The sequence below is a fragment of the Homo sapiens genome, chromosome 13 (genome assembly GCF_000001405.40).
Source record: "Homo sapiens chromosome 13, GRCh38.p14 Primary Assembly".
Taxonomy (NCBI): domain Eukaryota; kingdom Metazoa; phylum Chordata; class Mammalia; order Primates; family Hominidae; genus Homo; species Homo sapiens.
This window is the reverse complement of record NC_000013.11, coordinates 35,177,860-35,191,028: the sequence shown is the minus strand read 5'-3', so window position 1 is coordinate 35,191,028 and position 13,169 is coordinate 35,177,860. Positions and strand designations below refer to the sequence as shown.

Below are 13,169 nucleotides of genomic sequence, written 5' to 3'. Positions count from 1 at the left end.
TTCTGCTGAACCCCTCTAAGTGAATTTTTCATTTCAGTTATTACAATTTTCAACTCCAGAATTTCTATTTGGTTCTTTATTACATATATCTTTATTGGTATCCTCCTTTTGGTGAGATATCGCTCTTATACCTTTAGTTCTTTAGAAAATGCTTCCTGTAATTACTTGAGCATATGTAAAATAGCTGGTTTAAAGTGTCCGTCTAGTAAGTTCTGTATCTGGGCTTCCTCAGGGGCATTTTATATCAACTGCTTTGTTCCCCCTGTGTATTGACCATACTTTCCTATTTCTTTGCTTGTCTCATAATTCTTTTTGTTGTAAACTGGATATTTTAAATAACATAATGTGGCAATCATGAAAATCTGACCCCACCTACAGTTTGTTCTTGTTCTGTTTATTCATTTTCCTGAACTAATTCTGTAAAATCTGTTTTCCATCATCTGCAGCCACTTAAGTCTCTGCTCAGTTAACCTAGTGGTCAGCTAATGATTGCACAGACATTGTCTTAAATGTCTTGAACCAATAAATGTTCCACCCTTTGCCACAGGCTCTGTGTGTGTGTGTTTGGGTATGCTTGCAATGTTCTCATGGTTTAAAACTCTCTCTTAGCCTGCGCTTCCTTCTTGTGCTGGGCCTCAAGGTCAGCCAAAGGTGAGAGACTGAGGCCTTCTCAGGTCTTCCCTGGGCCTGAGGACAGCCCTGGGAATATGGATATCTCATTCTCACATCTGTTTAAGCTTTTAGGCAAGGTTCTTGTTTGCCCCAACTGGCACTGTCACTTCGAGCAGTTGCAACATTAAAGAAAAAAGCTGATTATTTTCAACAAATACCTTGGAGACAGGCTTTTCTCACTAAACAAGCTCTAGATTAGGTCAAATAATAATAAGCCCTGTGAATGGAGTTTTCCAGGAAGATTCCATACAGTTCAAATAGTTATAATGCTCTAAGGTCGAGACTTTCTAAGAAATTCTAAACCTAACCTACTCCCACTCCTATCCTCAGTGGCTGCTAGACTACTGGTTTTCAAAACTACCACTGGTGTCTGGCCTCTGGTTTTCAAAGCTACCACAGAGCTGAGGAAAGGTAGATGGCAACAGGGTGAGTTAAATCACTCTAAATCTTGCTGTTCTTATAAAGGTCTAGAGTTTTTCTTGAATTAACAGCCTCTGGGTTGTTGTAAACCTCTGATTGCTTTCCAAAGAACTGAAAAAGTTGATTTTGACAGTTTTTGCCAGTGTTCTTATTTTAAATAACATAAAAAAAGTAGTATTTTGAAAATACTACTTTTAGAAAAGCAGTATTTTGGAGGTTCTTACTTTGCTCTTCCCGAAGTTCCACTTACAAGTAATGTTTAGAACTCAAATTTTAATGTAGTTATAATTTTTATATTTTAAATAAATTATCGACTAGAGCTTACAATATATTCATATATATGTATTTTGCTTTTCTCTTGCCCTAGCTTGTTTTTACTCTTTTTCCTTTTCTTCTCATAAATCCTATTAAAATGTATCATGCACTTTTATAATGGAATAGAGGCAACCAATAATACTAATAATAAAATGCCAACATATATAATTATATATCTGATAAAGGTTTAATATCCAAAATATATAAGGAACTCAGCTCAACAGCAACAAAACAAATAACCCAATTAAAGCATAGGCAAATAACTTGAATAGACATTTCTCAAAAGAAGACAAACAGCTAACAGGTATATAAAAAATGCTCAACTTCGCTAATTATTAGAGGAATACAAATTAAAACTGCAAAGAAATATCACCTCACACAGGATGGCTATTATTGAAAATGTGGCCAGGTGCAGTGGCTCACATCTGTAATCACAGCACTTTGGGAGGCACAGGCAGGTGGATCACTTGGGGTGGGGAGTTCAAGCCCAGCCTGGCCAAGATGGTGAAACCTCGTCTCTACTAAAAATACAAAAATTAGCCCAGCATGGTGGGGCGTGCCTGTAATCCAAGCTACTCAGGAAGCTGAGCGGTACAATCACTTGAACCCGGGAGGTGGAGGTTGCAGTGAGCCAGGATCGCACCACTGCACTCAAGCCAGGGTGACAAAGTGAGACTCCATCTCAAAAAAAAACAACCAAAAAAAAAAAAAAAAACAAAAAGTAAAATATAGGTGTTGGAGAAGATGTGAAGAAAAGGGAACCCTTGCACACTGTTGATAGGAATGAAAATTAGGACAGCTATTATGGAAAATGGTATTGAGATTCTTCAAACAATTAAAAACAGAACTACCATACGATTCAATAATTCCACTTCAGGGTATATATCCAAGTGATATGAAATCAGTATTTGAAAGAGGTATGTGCACCCCAATGTTCATTGCAGCATTATTCACAATAGTCAAAATATGGAATCAAGTGTCTATTGACGAAGAGATGAATGAATAAATAAAATGTATATACACAATGGAACACTATTCACCCATAAAAAAAGAAACTCCTGTCATTTATGACAACATGGATGAATCTGGAGAATACTGCATTAAATTAAGTCAGACATAAAAAGACAAATATAGGTATAATTTTACTTATATAGGGAATCTTAAAAAGTTGAACTCACAGAAGTAAAGAGTAGAATAGTGGTTACTAGGGACTGGGAAGATGTTCACCAAAAGGACCAATGTTTCAGTTACAGAGACGGAATCAATGCTGGTGATCTATTTTCCAGCATGGTGACTATAGTTAATAATGTATCAGTACTTGAAAACTGCTGAGAATAAACTTTAAACATTCTTACCACAAAAAAAAAAAAAATGATACGTGAGGTGATGAAGACATTAATTAGCTTGACTTAATCATTCCCTAATGCATACAAATATCAGTATATCACATTGTACACCATAAATACATAAACTAAAAAAAAGTTAGTTATGATTACCCTCTTGAAGCATACATTCTAATAAACGATTAAACAAAGCACTGAATAGAAGAAAGGAAATAAAACAAGATGATATGAGAAAGAATAATAATGGAAAGGAAGCTACTCAGTTACAGGAGTAAGGGAAGGCCTCTCGGAGGAGGTGACCTGAAGAATGAGTAGGTACCAGTCACACAGAAAACAGGGAAAAGAGCCAAAAGCCAGGAACAAAATACAAACATCCTGAGGCATGAAAATGCTTGGCATGATTAAAAAACTAGAAGGTAGTCTGATGGTTTCATAGTGAGCAAAAGAAAGAATAGCATGAGATAAAGTTGGAAACGTAGTCAATAGTCATCTTATCTAGGGCCCTTGTGAAATGTTACTCTAAATACTACTAGAAATTTTATGTCAAGAAAGGACATAATCTGCTTTATCTTTTAAAACCATGAAATAGGCAGCAAAACTGTAAAAATAAAAGAATAACGATCAGTAAGAGAAGTAAGGAACCCACTTTGGAGATGATTATTGTAATTGAGTCAAGTCAGAATTAGAATAGTTTTGCCATGTTAAGGCATTTTAACTTTGTCCCAAAAATTACAGGGAGCCTTTTGAGAATTTTAGGAAGAAAAATTACTTTATTATAGTTATTATATATTATAAAATATTTATTATATTAAAATGGTACATAAATTATACTTACTGTTACTATGTTGTATTATATATTAGTGTTATTTCCAAAATTGTCAGTAATAAACCGAGAGAAAGCCTAGAAACTAAGAGTCCAATGAAGAAACTATGGCAATACTTCAAGAAGGGATTTGAGTCTGAACTAAGGGATTACATCAAAATTTAAAGAGAGAGACCAGAGAGCTAATTCAGAGTTTTCTTAAAGTCTCAAAAAGGAGCTGAAAGAAGGGAGTGGGGTGTGAAGGAGCTGAAGAGTAGTCCAGAAAAGGGTTTCTCAAACTATTTGTGAAAATTTACTTTTATGTCCTAAATCCATCATTCGCTGACACATTTAGAAAATAAAATATGAAATTTTATTTACCAATTGTAAATTACTGAAAAAATAAAAAATTTTAAAACTACTTTTAAACTTTAAAACTTTGTTAAAGTTTTAGTTTAAGTTAAAGTTTAAACTTTTAAAACTTTGTTTTGTTTTTAAAACAAAAACAGCACAACTGTTTTTGTTATTTGATTAGGCAGACATAAAATTACATATCAATAAATATAATTAGACAAAAATAGCACAAAGAAAAAGAATACAATTATAAAAATGGCCTGTGTTGTTCACCGAAAGTGAACTGGTGATTAATTTAGACAACTACTATTACACTTGTAACTTTTCTTCATTACACAACATAACTAAACAAAAAATTTTAGGTAAAGAGTGATCCTCACGTCCCAAATGCCTATATGAATATTTTGAACAAATACTGCGATTATAAATAAAGTTTATGATGTTGACAATGAGCTTTTTGCTTGTTAATTTATCTAATCTAAGGTGAACTGGCAATAAAGCAACTCGGGAATAATAAATACTTAAATTGTTTTTGTTTTATGTCAATAACACTCAAAGAGGAGAAAGTAGTGTCACACAGGTATGTTGATGGAATGAAAACTCTTCTACATTTTGTATAGTTAAAATAAGATGTAAGTTATATTTCAATGACAGAAATGGATTCCAGATCCATTAATTTGCTACCTGTGAATCTTCTATTGCTGGAAAATAAAATATAAAATAGTCTGCCCAATCCATAAAATGACAGGTGATAACTTGAAAGATGAACAAAATCAGATCATTCCTAAAGATCAGAATACTTAATAATTTTTTTCTTTGAAAAAGGGTCTTGCTCTGTTGCTCAGGCTGGAGTGCAGTAGGCACAATCACAGCTCACAGCAACCTAAACTTCCTGGGCTTAAGCAATCTTCCCACCTCAGCCTCCTGAGTAGCTGGGACTACAGGCACATGCCACCATGCCTGGTTAATTTTTTAATTTTTTGTATAGACGGGGTCTCACTACATTGCCCAGGCTGGTCTCAAACTCCTGGTCTCAAGCTATCCTCTCTCCTCGGCCTCCCAAAGTGCTGGGATTATAGGCATGCACCACCGAGCTGGGCCGATAATTATTATTAAATTGTGAAACATATCACAGAAATTGTGTACCTCTAAGATTTTAACTTTTGTTTGTGCTCTTTGATCATATCTATCATGAAAAAATATCTTTCCCCGTTTGGAAGCATTGAGTTCATGAAAAATATTTGACAGACATTTTCCCCCAATAACCACTGCACTACAGCATGCAATAACAGTTATGATAATCTGCCATAGTATCACATAATATAAAGAATAATAGCAAGTTTACCACATTGGCCTTAAAGTAATTCAAAATTTTATTATGCTACTAACACCACTGTTCAGTGTAACTGAAACTATTTTCAGTTTAACTGACACTATTTTCATAGCAAGACTTTCTTGACAACGTGCATTACTATTCTGATATAGGCTCCTTAATCTGGGCAGATACAACCGGATACTTCCCATAGCAGAGCCTTTGGAACACACTCCACCAGACAAACTCCAGGTGATGTTTGCTGACAATCTCATCCTTTTTTTGGTTTGCACAGTTTAGAGCTAGATGTGTTTGTCAGCCAGCAGTGAGGTTGAAAAAAATATTTTTCCCTTCATTTCATCATGCTGTTCAAAGGTTGCACATTTATAAAAAATAATATTTGTACATTCATCAAGTTGTAACAAAAATATTTTGCTAGCTTTATTTGTTCCAAAAGTGCTGTTCCATATGATTAGGCAGTTATGGAATACACTGAAGTATTGTATCACCTGGAGCACAGGGTCCTCTTCAAAACTCATTCAATTATTGGCAGAATTCAGTTCCTTCCTGCTGTAGGACTAAAGTCCCCACTTTCTTGCTGGCTGTCAGCTGGTGAGTGCTATTAGCTATGTGGTTTTCTCAGGTCCTTGCTCCTCCATCTAAGCAATAAGATGGTCACCTCCATCTAAGCAATAAAGATCCTCCTTCATGTCAAATTTCTCTCACATTTCAAGTCTCTCGGACTTCCTGTTCTGTGACCAGAGGAGGAAACTCTCTTCTTTTACAGAGCTCATGCGATTAGGTCAAGCCCACCTGGATAATCACCATTTCTTAAAGGCCAATGTGCCATACAGCATAACCTAATCACAGGAGTAAACACCATCATATTTATCATCCCAGGAATTTTGCAGAGTGCGTACACAGGAAAATCTTGGAGCTATCACAGAATTCTACCTCTTATAAATCCTTTGTTCTGAAGTCAGTAATCTCATGTTACTCCTACACAGAGATATTATCATTTTGGCTATTGTATTTTTCATCTCTAAAATTGTCATTTTTTTCTTTATATCTTCCATTTCTCTCTTCAATATGTTAACTTTTTCCATTACATTGAAAAACATCTTGAATATACATGTAATGGCTTCTATAATGTCCGTATCTGATAGTTCTGCCATTTCTGTTGTCTCAAAATCTGTTTCTATTCACTGATTTTTTTTCTTTTGCTTATGCATCACATTTTTCTCCTTCTTTGCATGTTTAATAATTTTTGTTGGATGTCTAATATTTAATTTTATGGTTTTTCATATGGACTTTTCGCATTCCTTTACAGTGTTGGGGCTTTGTTCTAACTGGAAGTTAAATAACGTATAGATCAGTTTGATGCTTTCAAGGCATGTTTTTAAGGTTTATTCTAGAGTAGCCTTTATATTAGGCTCATTTAGTCCCACTACTAAACTGTGACTCTCCTGAGATCTCTCCTGAGTGCTACCACTATGCATATTAATATACATATAATTAGGTATCCTTAATTTATAGATGATACTTAAAGAAATGTAATAAAATACAAATATAAAAGCTATACTTCGCTCTCAATAGCTAGGTATAAATACAACATATCATATCTCCATGAAACCTGAGGTATATACTTATTTATAAACAAGTATATCATGAATATTTATTTTAAAACAATTCATGAAATAAGAATACCCAAACAGGTCAGGAGATGAGGTCAGTATTACCTTTGTAAAATGAGTGGCCAAAGCTCTGCTCAGGAATTAACTTGGCAAGGAATCCATGGTTCAAACTTGGATGAGGGATAGATGGTATGACCACAACTGTGGAGAAAATCATGGAATCAAATTTGAGCCAGCATGTAACAACCTGCCACATGGTCCACTGAAGATCCATGACAATTCTGTATTACTGCAACATGCAAACAATACTAGCAATAACGAATGCATCTCTGAAGAAAAGAGTTTATGTATTAAGAGAAAGAAAATAATACATTTGTTAAGTAGAGTAATTCTAGCAACATACACAGAGACATACAAATACACAAGAAACTCAGAACTAGAAGGTTCACTATACTATTACTTTTTGTACATATAATGGATATAAAAGCATTAAAAATGAAGAAAAAGAAAATGATAAGTCTTAGTGTTTTAAATGGTGAAAAAACATGAACTGGAATGGTAGGATGATGTTTAATTTGAATAATAAAATTAAAAGCAAAAGTATATTATAATGAAATATTCTCATGTTTGTGTGTTAAAAGTACATGTATCATGCAACAGCAAAATACTGTAGCTAAAACATAATCCATATCTCCATGACATCAATAAAAGGTATATGAAATAGGATATGCTTATGAAAAACAAGATGCAGAGATTTGACCACTAATTTCTACTCACTTTTTGAAATATCCATTTTATTTATAAATCATATGCATTTATTTAGGAAAGAAAATTTCAACTACAAATTAATCCAGTGGTACATGAAATAACCATTAGGTTATCAAGGTTTCACTGCAAACAATAGAGAAACAACCTTGATATAAACACCTGGAAGGAAATGATAATGATAGAAGGTGTCCAATATTAAAATGTTAGTTGCCAGAAACTGTGTTTATGCTGTTCAAGTAGAGTGGGCAAAGCTAGTAATGCAAGAACTGCTGCAACATGAGCATTTTTTGCAAATGAAAAAAGGCAGCATGACCCAAGGTGGTTCATTGTTGTCCATGTTAACTTTCCACAAGTCTTTGATTTTAGTTGAGGCCACTTTGGTATAAAGTTTAGAACACATGTTTGATTATAAATCACTGATAGAATATTTAGATACTGAATTAACTGTATACAGCTAAAAAAGAAAAAAATCCAACTTTTGAGCTTGGCTACAAAGATTTGTATTTTGGCTTACCCTTGGCATTGAACAACTCTATAATGACTTTCTACTTTCATGTTTATAAATGTTAAAAAAGTAATATATTTAACAATATATGAGTTACTTGCATATTAAATAGTGGTATAAATTAATGATTTGTATTAATAAATGAGAAACACTGAAACCAAAGCTATACTGATAAAATGAGAATGTAGCAACTATATAAAAATACCATTCATACATTTTTGTTGAATTAAGGAATACTAAATTAGCATTTCTATACCAACCATTCATAAATATTTGAGGTGATTATGAAGAGGTCCAGTTTAAATCTAGATGTAAAGGTGAAAAAAAGGAGATACATCATGGTGAAAATTCAAATAATTATACAATGTTAAGTACCTGTACTTGTTGGTGAATTTATTTCTTGCCTGATGTTTCTACCTGGTTGGCTTCCAGTTCTTGTAGTCTCTCTCTGGGGTTCTAATATGTCACGATACTTGGAAACCATCAGAACCGAAATGAAGTAAACAACAGCCAGAGCTAAGAACTGTGCTTGTTTGCTATCATCCTATGAAAAATGAAAAGACAGTTTTAACACTCAAACTTTTTGAAGTATAAGTTCTTAAAGCACTAGAAACTGCTATTTTATTATCTTTATGGAGGCAAAATATGATATGTAACTTTTATGAAAACCTGCTAAATATATATATTTATTTAATAAGTATTATTTAACTATAAATATAAAACTCCTAAAATATATCATCTACAGGTTGGAATGTAATTTCCAAAAACTAGAATATTAAAATTTTATTCTTTGTCCATTTTTGTCCATTATTATCTACTACTTACATAACAACATAGTATGTGTGCTTATAAAATATGTAGATGGCACAAAGTTGAAAAGAATAATGTCCTGGATTTTAAAAAAATCAAGGGTTTTATATACTATAACTGAATAAAATTAGTAGGATAAAACTCCAACTGAAATACATATAAAATCCTAGTGTAACTGGAACAAGAGACTATATGAATACAAAATAGAGGAGAAATAAACAATGGGGGAGCAGAAAACATGAATTTACATAAGCTCAATATGAGCCAGAAGTATGATTATGGCAGCATAAGAAAAAGCTAATTCAATCTTTGATCGTATAAACAGGTAACATTTGACAAACCCTTCTAGACATTGGCTTAGGCAAAGATTTCATGACCAAGAACCCAAAAGCAAATGCAACAAAAACAAAGATAAATAGGCAGGACTTAATTAAACTAAAGAGCTTCTGCATAGCAAAAAGATCAGTTAGCAGAATAAACAGACAACTCACAGAGTGGGAGAAATTCTTCACAATCTATTCATCCGACAAAGAACTAATAGCCACAATCTACAAGGAACTCAAACAAATTAGCAAAAAAAAAAAACTCATCCAAAAGTGGACTAAAGACATAAACAGACAATTCTCAAAAGAATATATACAAATAGCCAACAACAAATATATGAAAAATGCTCAACATCAGTAATTATCAGGGAAATGCAAATCAAAACCACAATGTGATACCACCTTACTCTCACAAGAATGGCCATAATAAAAAAATAATAGTTATTAGCACAGATGGGGTGAAAAGGAAACACTTCTACACTGCTGGTGGGAATGAAAACTAGTACAACCACCGTGGAAAACAGTGTGCAGATTCCTTAAAGAACTAAAAGAATTATCATTTGATCCCGGAATCCCACTACTGGGTATTTACCCAGAGGAAAAGAAGTCAGTATATGAAAAAGATACTTGCACATGCATGTTTATAGCAGCACAATTTTCAATTGCAAAAATGTGGAACCAGCACAAATGCCCATCAATCAATGAGTGGATAAAGAAACTGTGGTATATATATACACTATGTCATGCTACTCAGCCACAAAAAGTAATGGAATAATGGCATTCGCAGCAACCTGGATGGGACTGGAGACTATTATTCTAAGTGAAGTAAGTAACTCAGGAATGGAAAACCATCATATGTTCTCACTCATAAGTGGAAGCTAAGCTATGATGCAAAGGCATAAGAATGATACAATGGACTTTGGGGACTAGAAGGGAAAAGTGTGGGAAGTGGGTGACAGATAAAAGACTACAAATTGGGGTCAGTGTATATTGATCAGGTGATGGGTGCATCAAAGTCTCACAAATCGCCACTAAAGAACTTACTCGTGTATTCAAATACTACTATTTCCCAAAAACCTATGGAAATAGAACATTTTTTAAAAGAAATAATAGTCCATTATTCTGCACAGGAAAAATGACCTCTAAAACACTGCCAATATTTCACGCTCCTCATTTCCAAACTCAAAGATAAAATGGAGTTCTTCCAGAGGAGAACAGCAAATGGTAAAAGGTTTGAAAAAAACTGGCCAAGGCAGAAAGCAATGATAGTTAAAACAACGGCTGTGGTATGGTAGAGAGATAACTTTAAAATAAGTATGCTTTCCAAAAATATAACAAGCTGCATGTAACCTTGAGAGCTCTATTCAAAAAGCCTAGATAAACTTATTTCAGGGAAACAATAAGTATCAAGTCTAAATTATATGACCTCTAATATACTAGAGTATATCTAAGGAATAAAATGTAAATCTTTATTAAACTTCTTTTATAAGCTAGGTAAAACTGATACTTTCAAACCAAACTGAAAGCAGTTACTGTGGCCCACAGATAAGAGGCAGAATAAGAAATAAGGAAAACAAGCAAGTAATAAATTCTAGTAACTCGATTAACAGGCACTTTATATTTATTACTTCATCTAAGCACAATGCAAACAAGATTCATAATTTATGTGCATTTGCAGGCAAAAAGCAAATAAGACATATTTACTGATGATTTAATATTGTAAAACAGTCTGGCTAATGGGGAAAATGACCAAAATACACAAAATCTGTTCTGAATTATTCCTAATTTACTATTTCATACATTGTGGGTTATAGCTTTTCTAGAGATACTTTGTCTTACAAACTGTTTAAAATGCATATTCCTTGCACTACAATGATGATACAATAAACACAGAGAGAAGTGAAGAAATCAAATGCCTAAGCAGTTATTACAAAGGAAAATGAAGCACAATCAGATTAAGAAAAGATACCAACCAAGAACAGATTCACACATTGCTCAAGCTGTGACAGACCATAATATCCCATAATACTTCTATTTCTAACACTAGAAACTCAGTACCAGGCAATCAGAAGGCATTCAACAAATATGTGTGGAATGAATGAATGAATGCCAACTACACAGTGGCAGCGCTGTAAATAACAGACACTAAACTGCTGTCATAGCTACACGAAAACCTCCTTTATATATGGCATGAAAAGAGTTAGCTTTTTTTTTTATTTTTTATTTTTTATTTTTTTTTAACCCAGATCTCCTAGTCAGTTGTGCTTCTTATTCCCAGTTCTGTCTTTGGAAATGAAGCTCAGTATACATAGAGGCTAAACATCTGGGGAATGACTAAATTTTTATACAAATTAATTGACTTGCTCAGGTATTTTATTACTGAGAAGACATGAGCTATATAATGTTTCTCCGGTCTGCTTTAAGTGTTGCCATGGTGTACCTTCCGAACAACATCAAGGTAATATAACTTGTGTTAATTGGGTTTATATTATGTATCAAGCACTAAATACATATTATCCTAAGTTTCCAGTTAAGGGTTAAGAAAAAGTTAAGACTCAGAAACACTGAGACCACACAACTGGTATAAGGTAGAGTCAGAATTCAAACCCAGATCTTTCCAAAGCATTCTCTTTTCATCACCATATTTCACAGATACAACCACTGCTGGGTTATCCAACATATTTATAAAATATCCATGAATTTAAGGGAAATGATCATCATTTACCATATAACCTAATTCAAAATTTACTAACAATTTAAACACTATGTCACCCTTAATAGAAACTCCTCCGGTATGTTATATATTACGTCTGACTGTGCCTTTGGAGATGAAGATGAGCTCCATGTTTTTAATCATTCATTCATTAAAAAAAATCCTTTTCACAACACATTTTTTCAGGATGACTATTCCCATTTCTAAATGGTTAAACTGTCAGTAAGAATGGTATCTTCTTTCCAAGTCTAGGTTAGAGTTTAGATTACAGTGAGTTCTTACATTGTGGTTTTTATACTTTAATGTAGTCTCCCTTTTTAAAAAAACCTTCATTATTTATTAATTATAAAAACAATATAGGTTTATTATAAAAAATTTAAAACTACAAAAAAGCATAAAAGGATAAATAAAATCTGTTTACCTAGACATAATCATTGGTGGAATACTGGTATATTTTTTCAGTCTTTTTTTAAAAATAAAGATGCACGTATGTATGTACATACAATCAGTATACATATGTAATACTTGTTAATGTAAGTACTTCTACATGCTGTTGCTTTCTCTTAAAATATATCATGATCATTTTCCGTTGTCATTAAATTTCCTTCAAAAATATATGCTTAAAGGCTGAATAGGTCACTGCTGAATGACTACGCCAAGAATTTTTAGGCCAAAATTCTATTACTGGATATTTATAATGCTGCCAAATTTCCTGTAGATATCTCTGATGAAAACATTAAGTTAAACAAATTCTGACTAGAACGACTGGGTTCTAGTGGTTCATTGGGACATCAAGATTTGTAAGAGTTTTAACCATATTGGCAAAGAGCTATTCGAAAGCTCAAACACCAGTGATATTTGACAGAGCAGCTTTCACTGCACCCAGACAATGCTAGGTATTATCATTTTAAAATTTTTAGTTTATTTAATAGTGAAAAATCTCTCACTCCTGTGTTAATCTGCATTCTGTTGACTACTAGGGATACTGAATTTTTATCATGTTTGTTGCCTTGTGTCCATTGCCTATTTTTCTGTTGGTATGTTTGGAATTTTCCTAGCATTTTATAACTAATATATATTAAACAGAGTGATGATTTTTCTATTGTACATTCCTAACATATAGCATTATGTTATATAACCTAAATATATTTTAATCATGTTCTAAAGTACAAAGCATGCCATTCAATTTACTGTTAAA

General features: G+C 33.1%; 1 protein-coding gene and 1 pseudogene across 13 annotated transcripts in view; both read right to left on the bottom strand.

Annotated features, from left to right (window-relative positions):
- NBEA (neurobeachin) overlaps positions 1-13,169 on the bottom strand; it is a 730,467-nt gene that overhangs the window by 481,708 nt on the left and 235,590 nt on the right. For all 13 annotated transcript variants that reach the window (XM_047430271.1, NM_001385012.1, XM_006719803.4 and 10 more), the window contains 2 exons: positions 8,501-8,669; positions 6,958-7,053 (listed from right to left, as the gene is read on the bottom strand). In XM_047430271.1, coding sequence (XP_047286227.1) covers positions 6,958-7,053; positions 8,501-8,669 — 265 coding nt within the window. The remainder of the gene's footprint in view (positions 1-6,957; positions 7,054-8,500; positions 8,670-13,169) is intronic.
- Positions 4,350-5,735, bottom strand: SCAND3P1 (SCAND3 pseudogene 1; annotated as a pseudogene).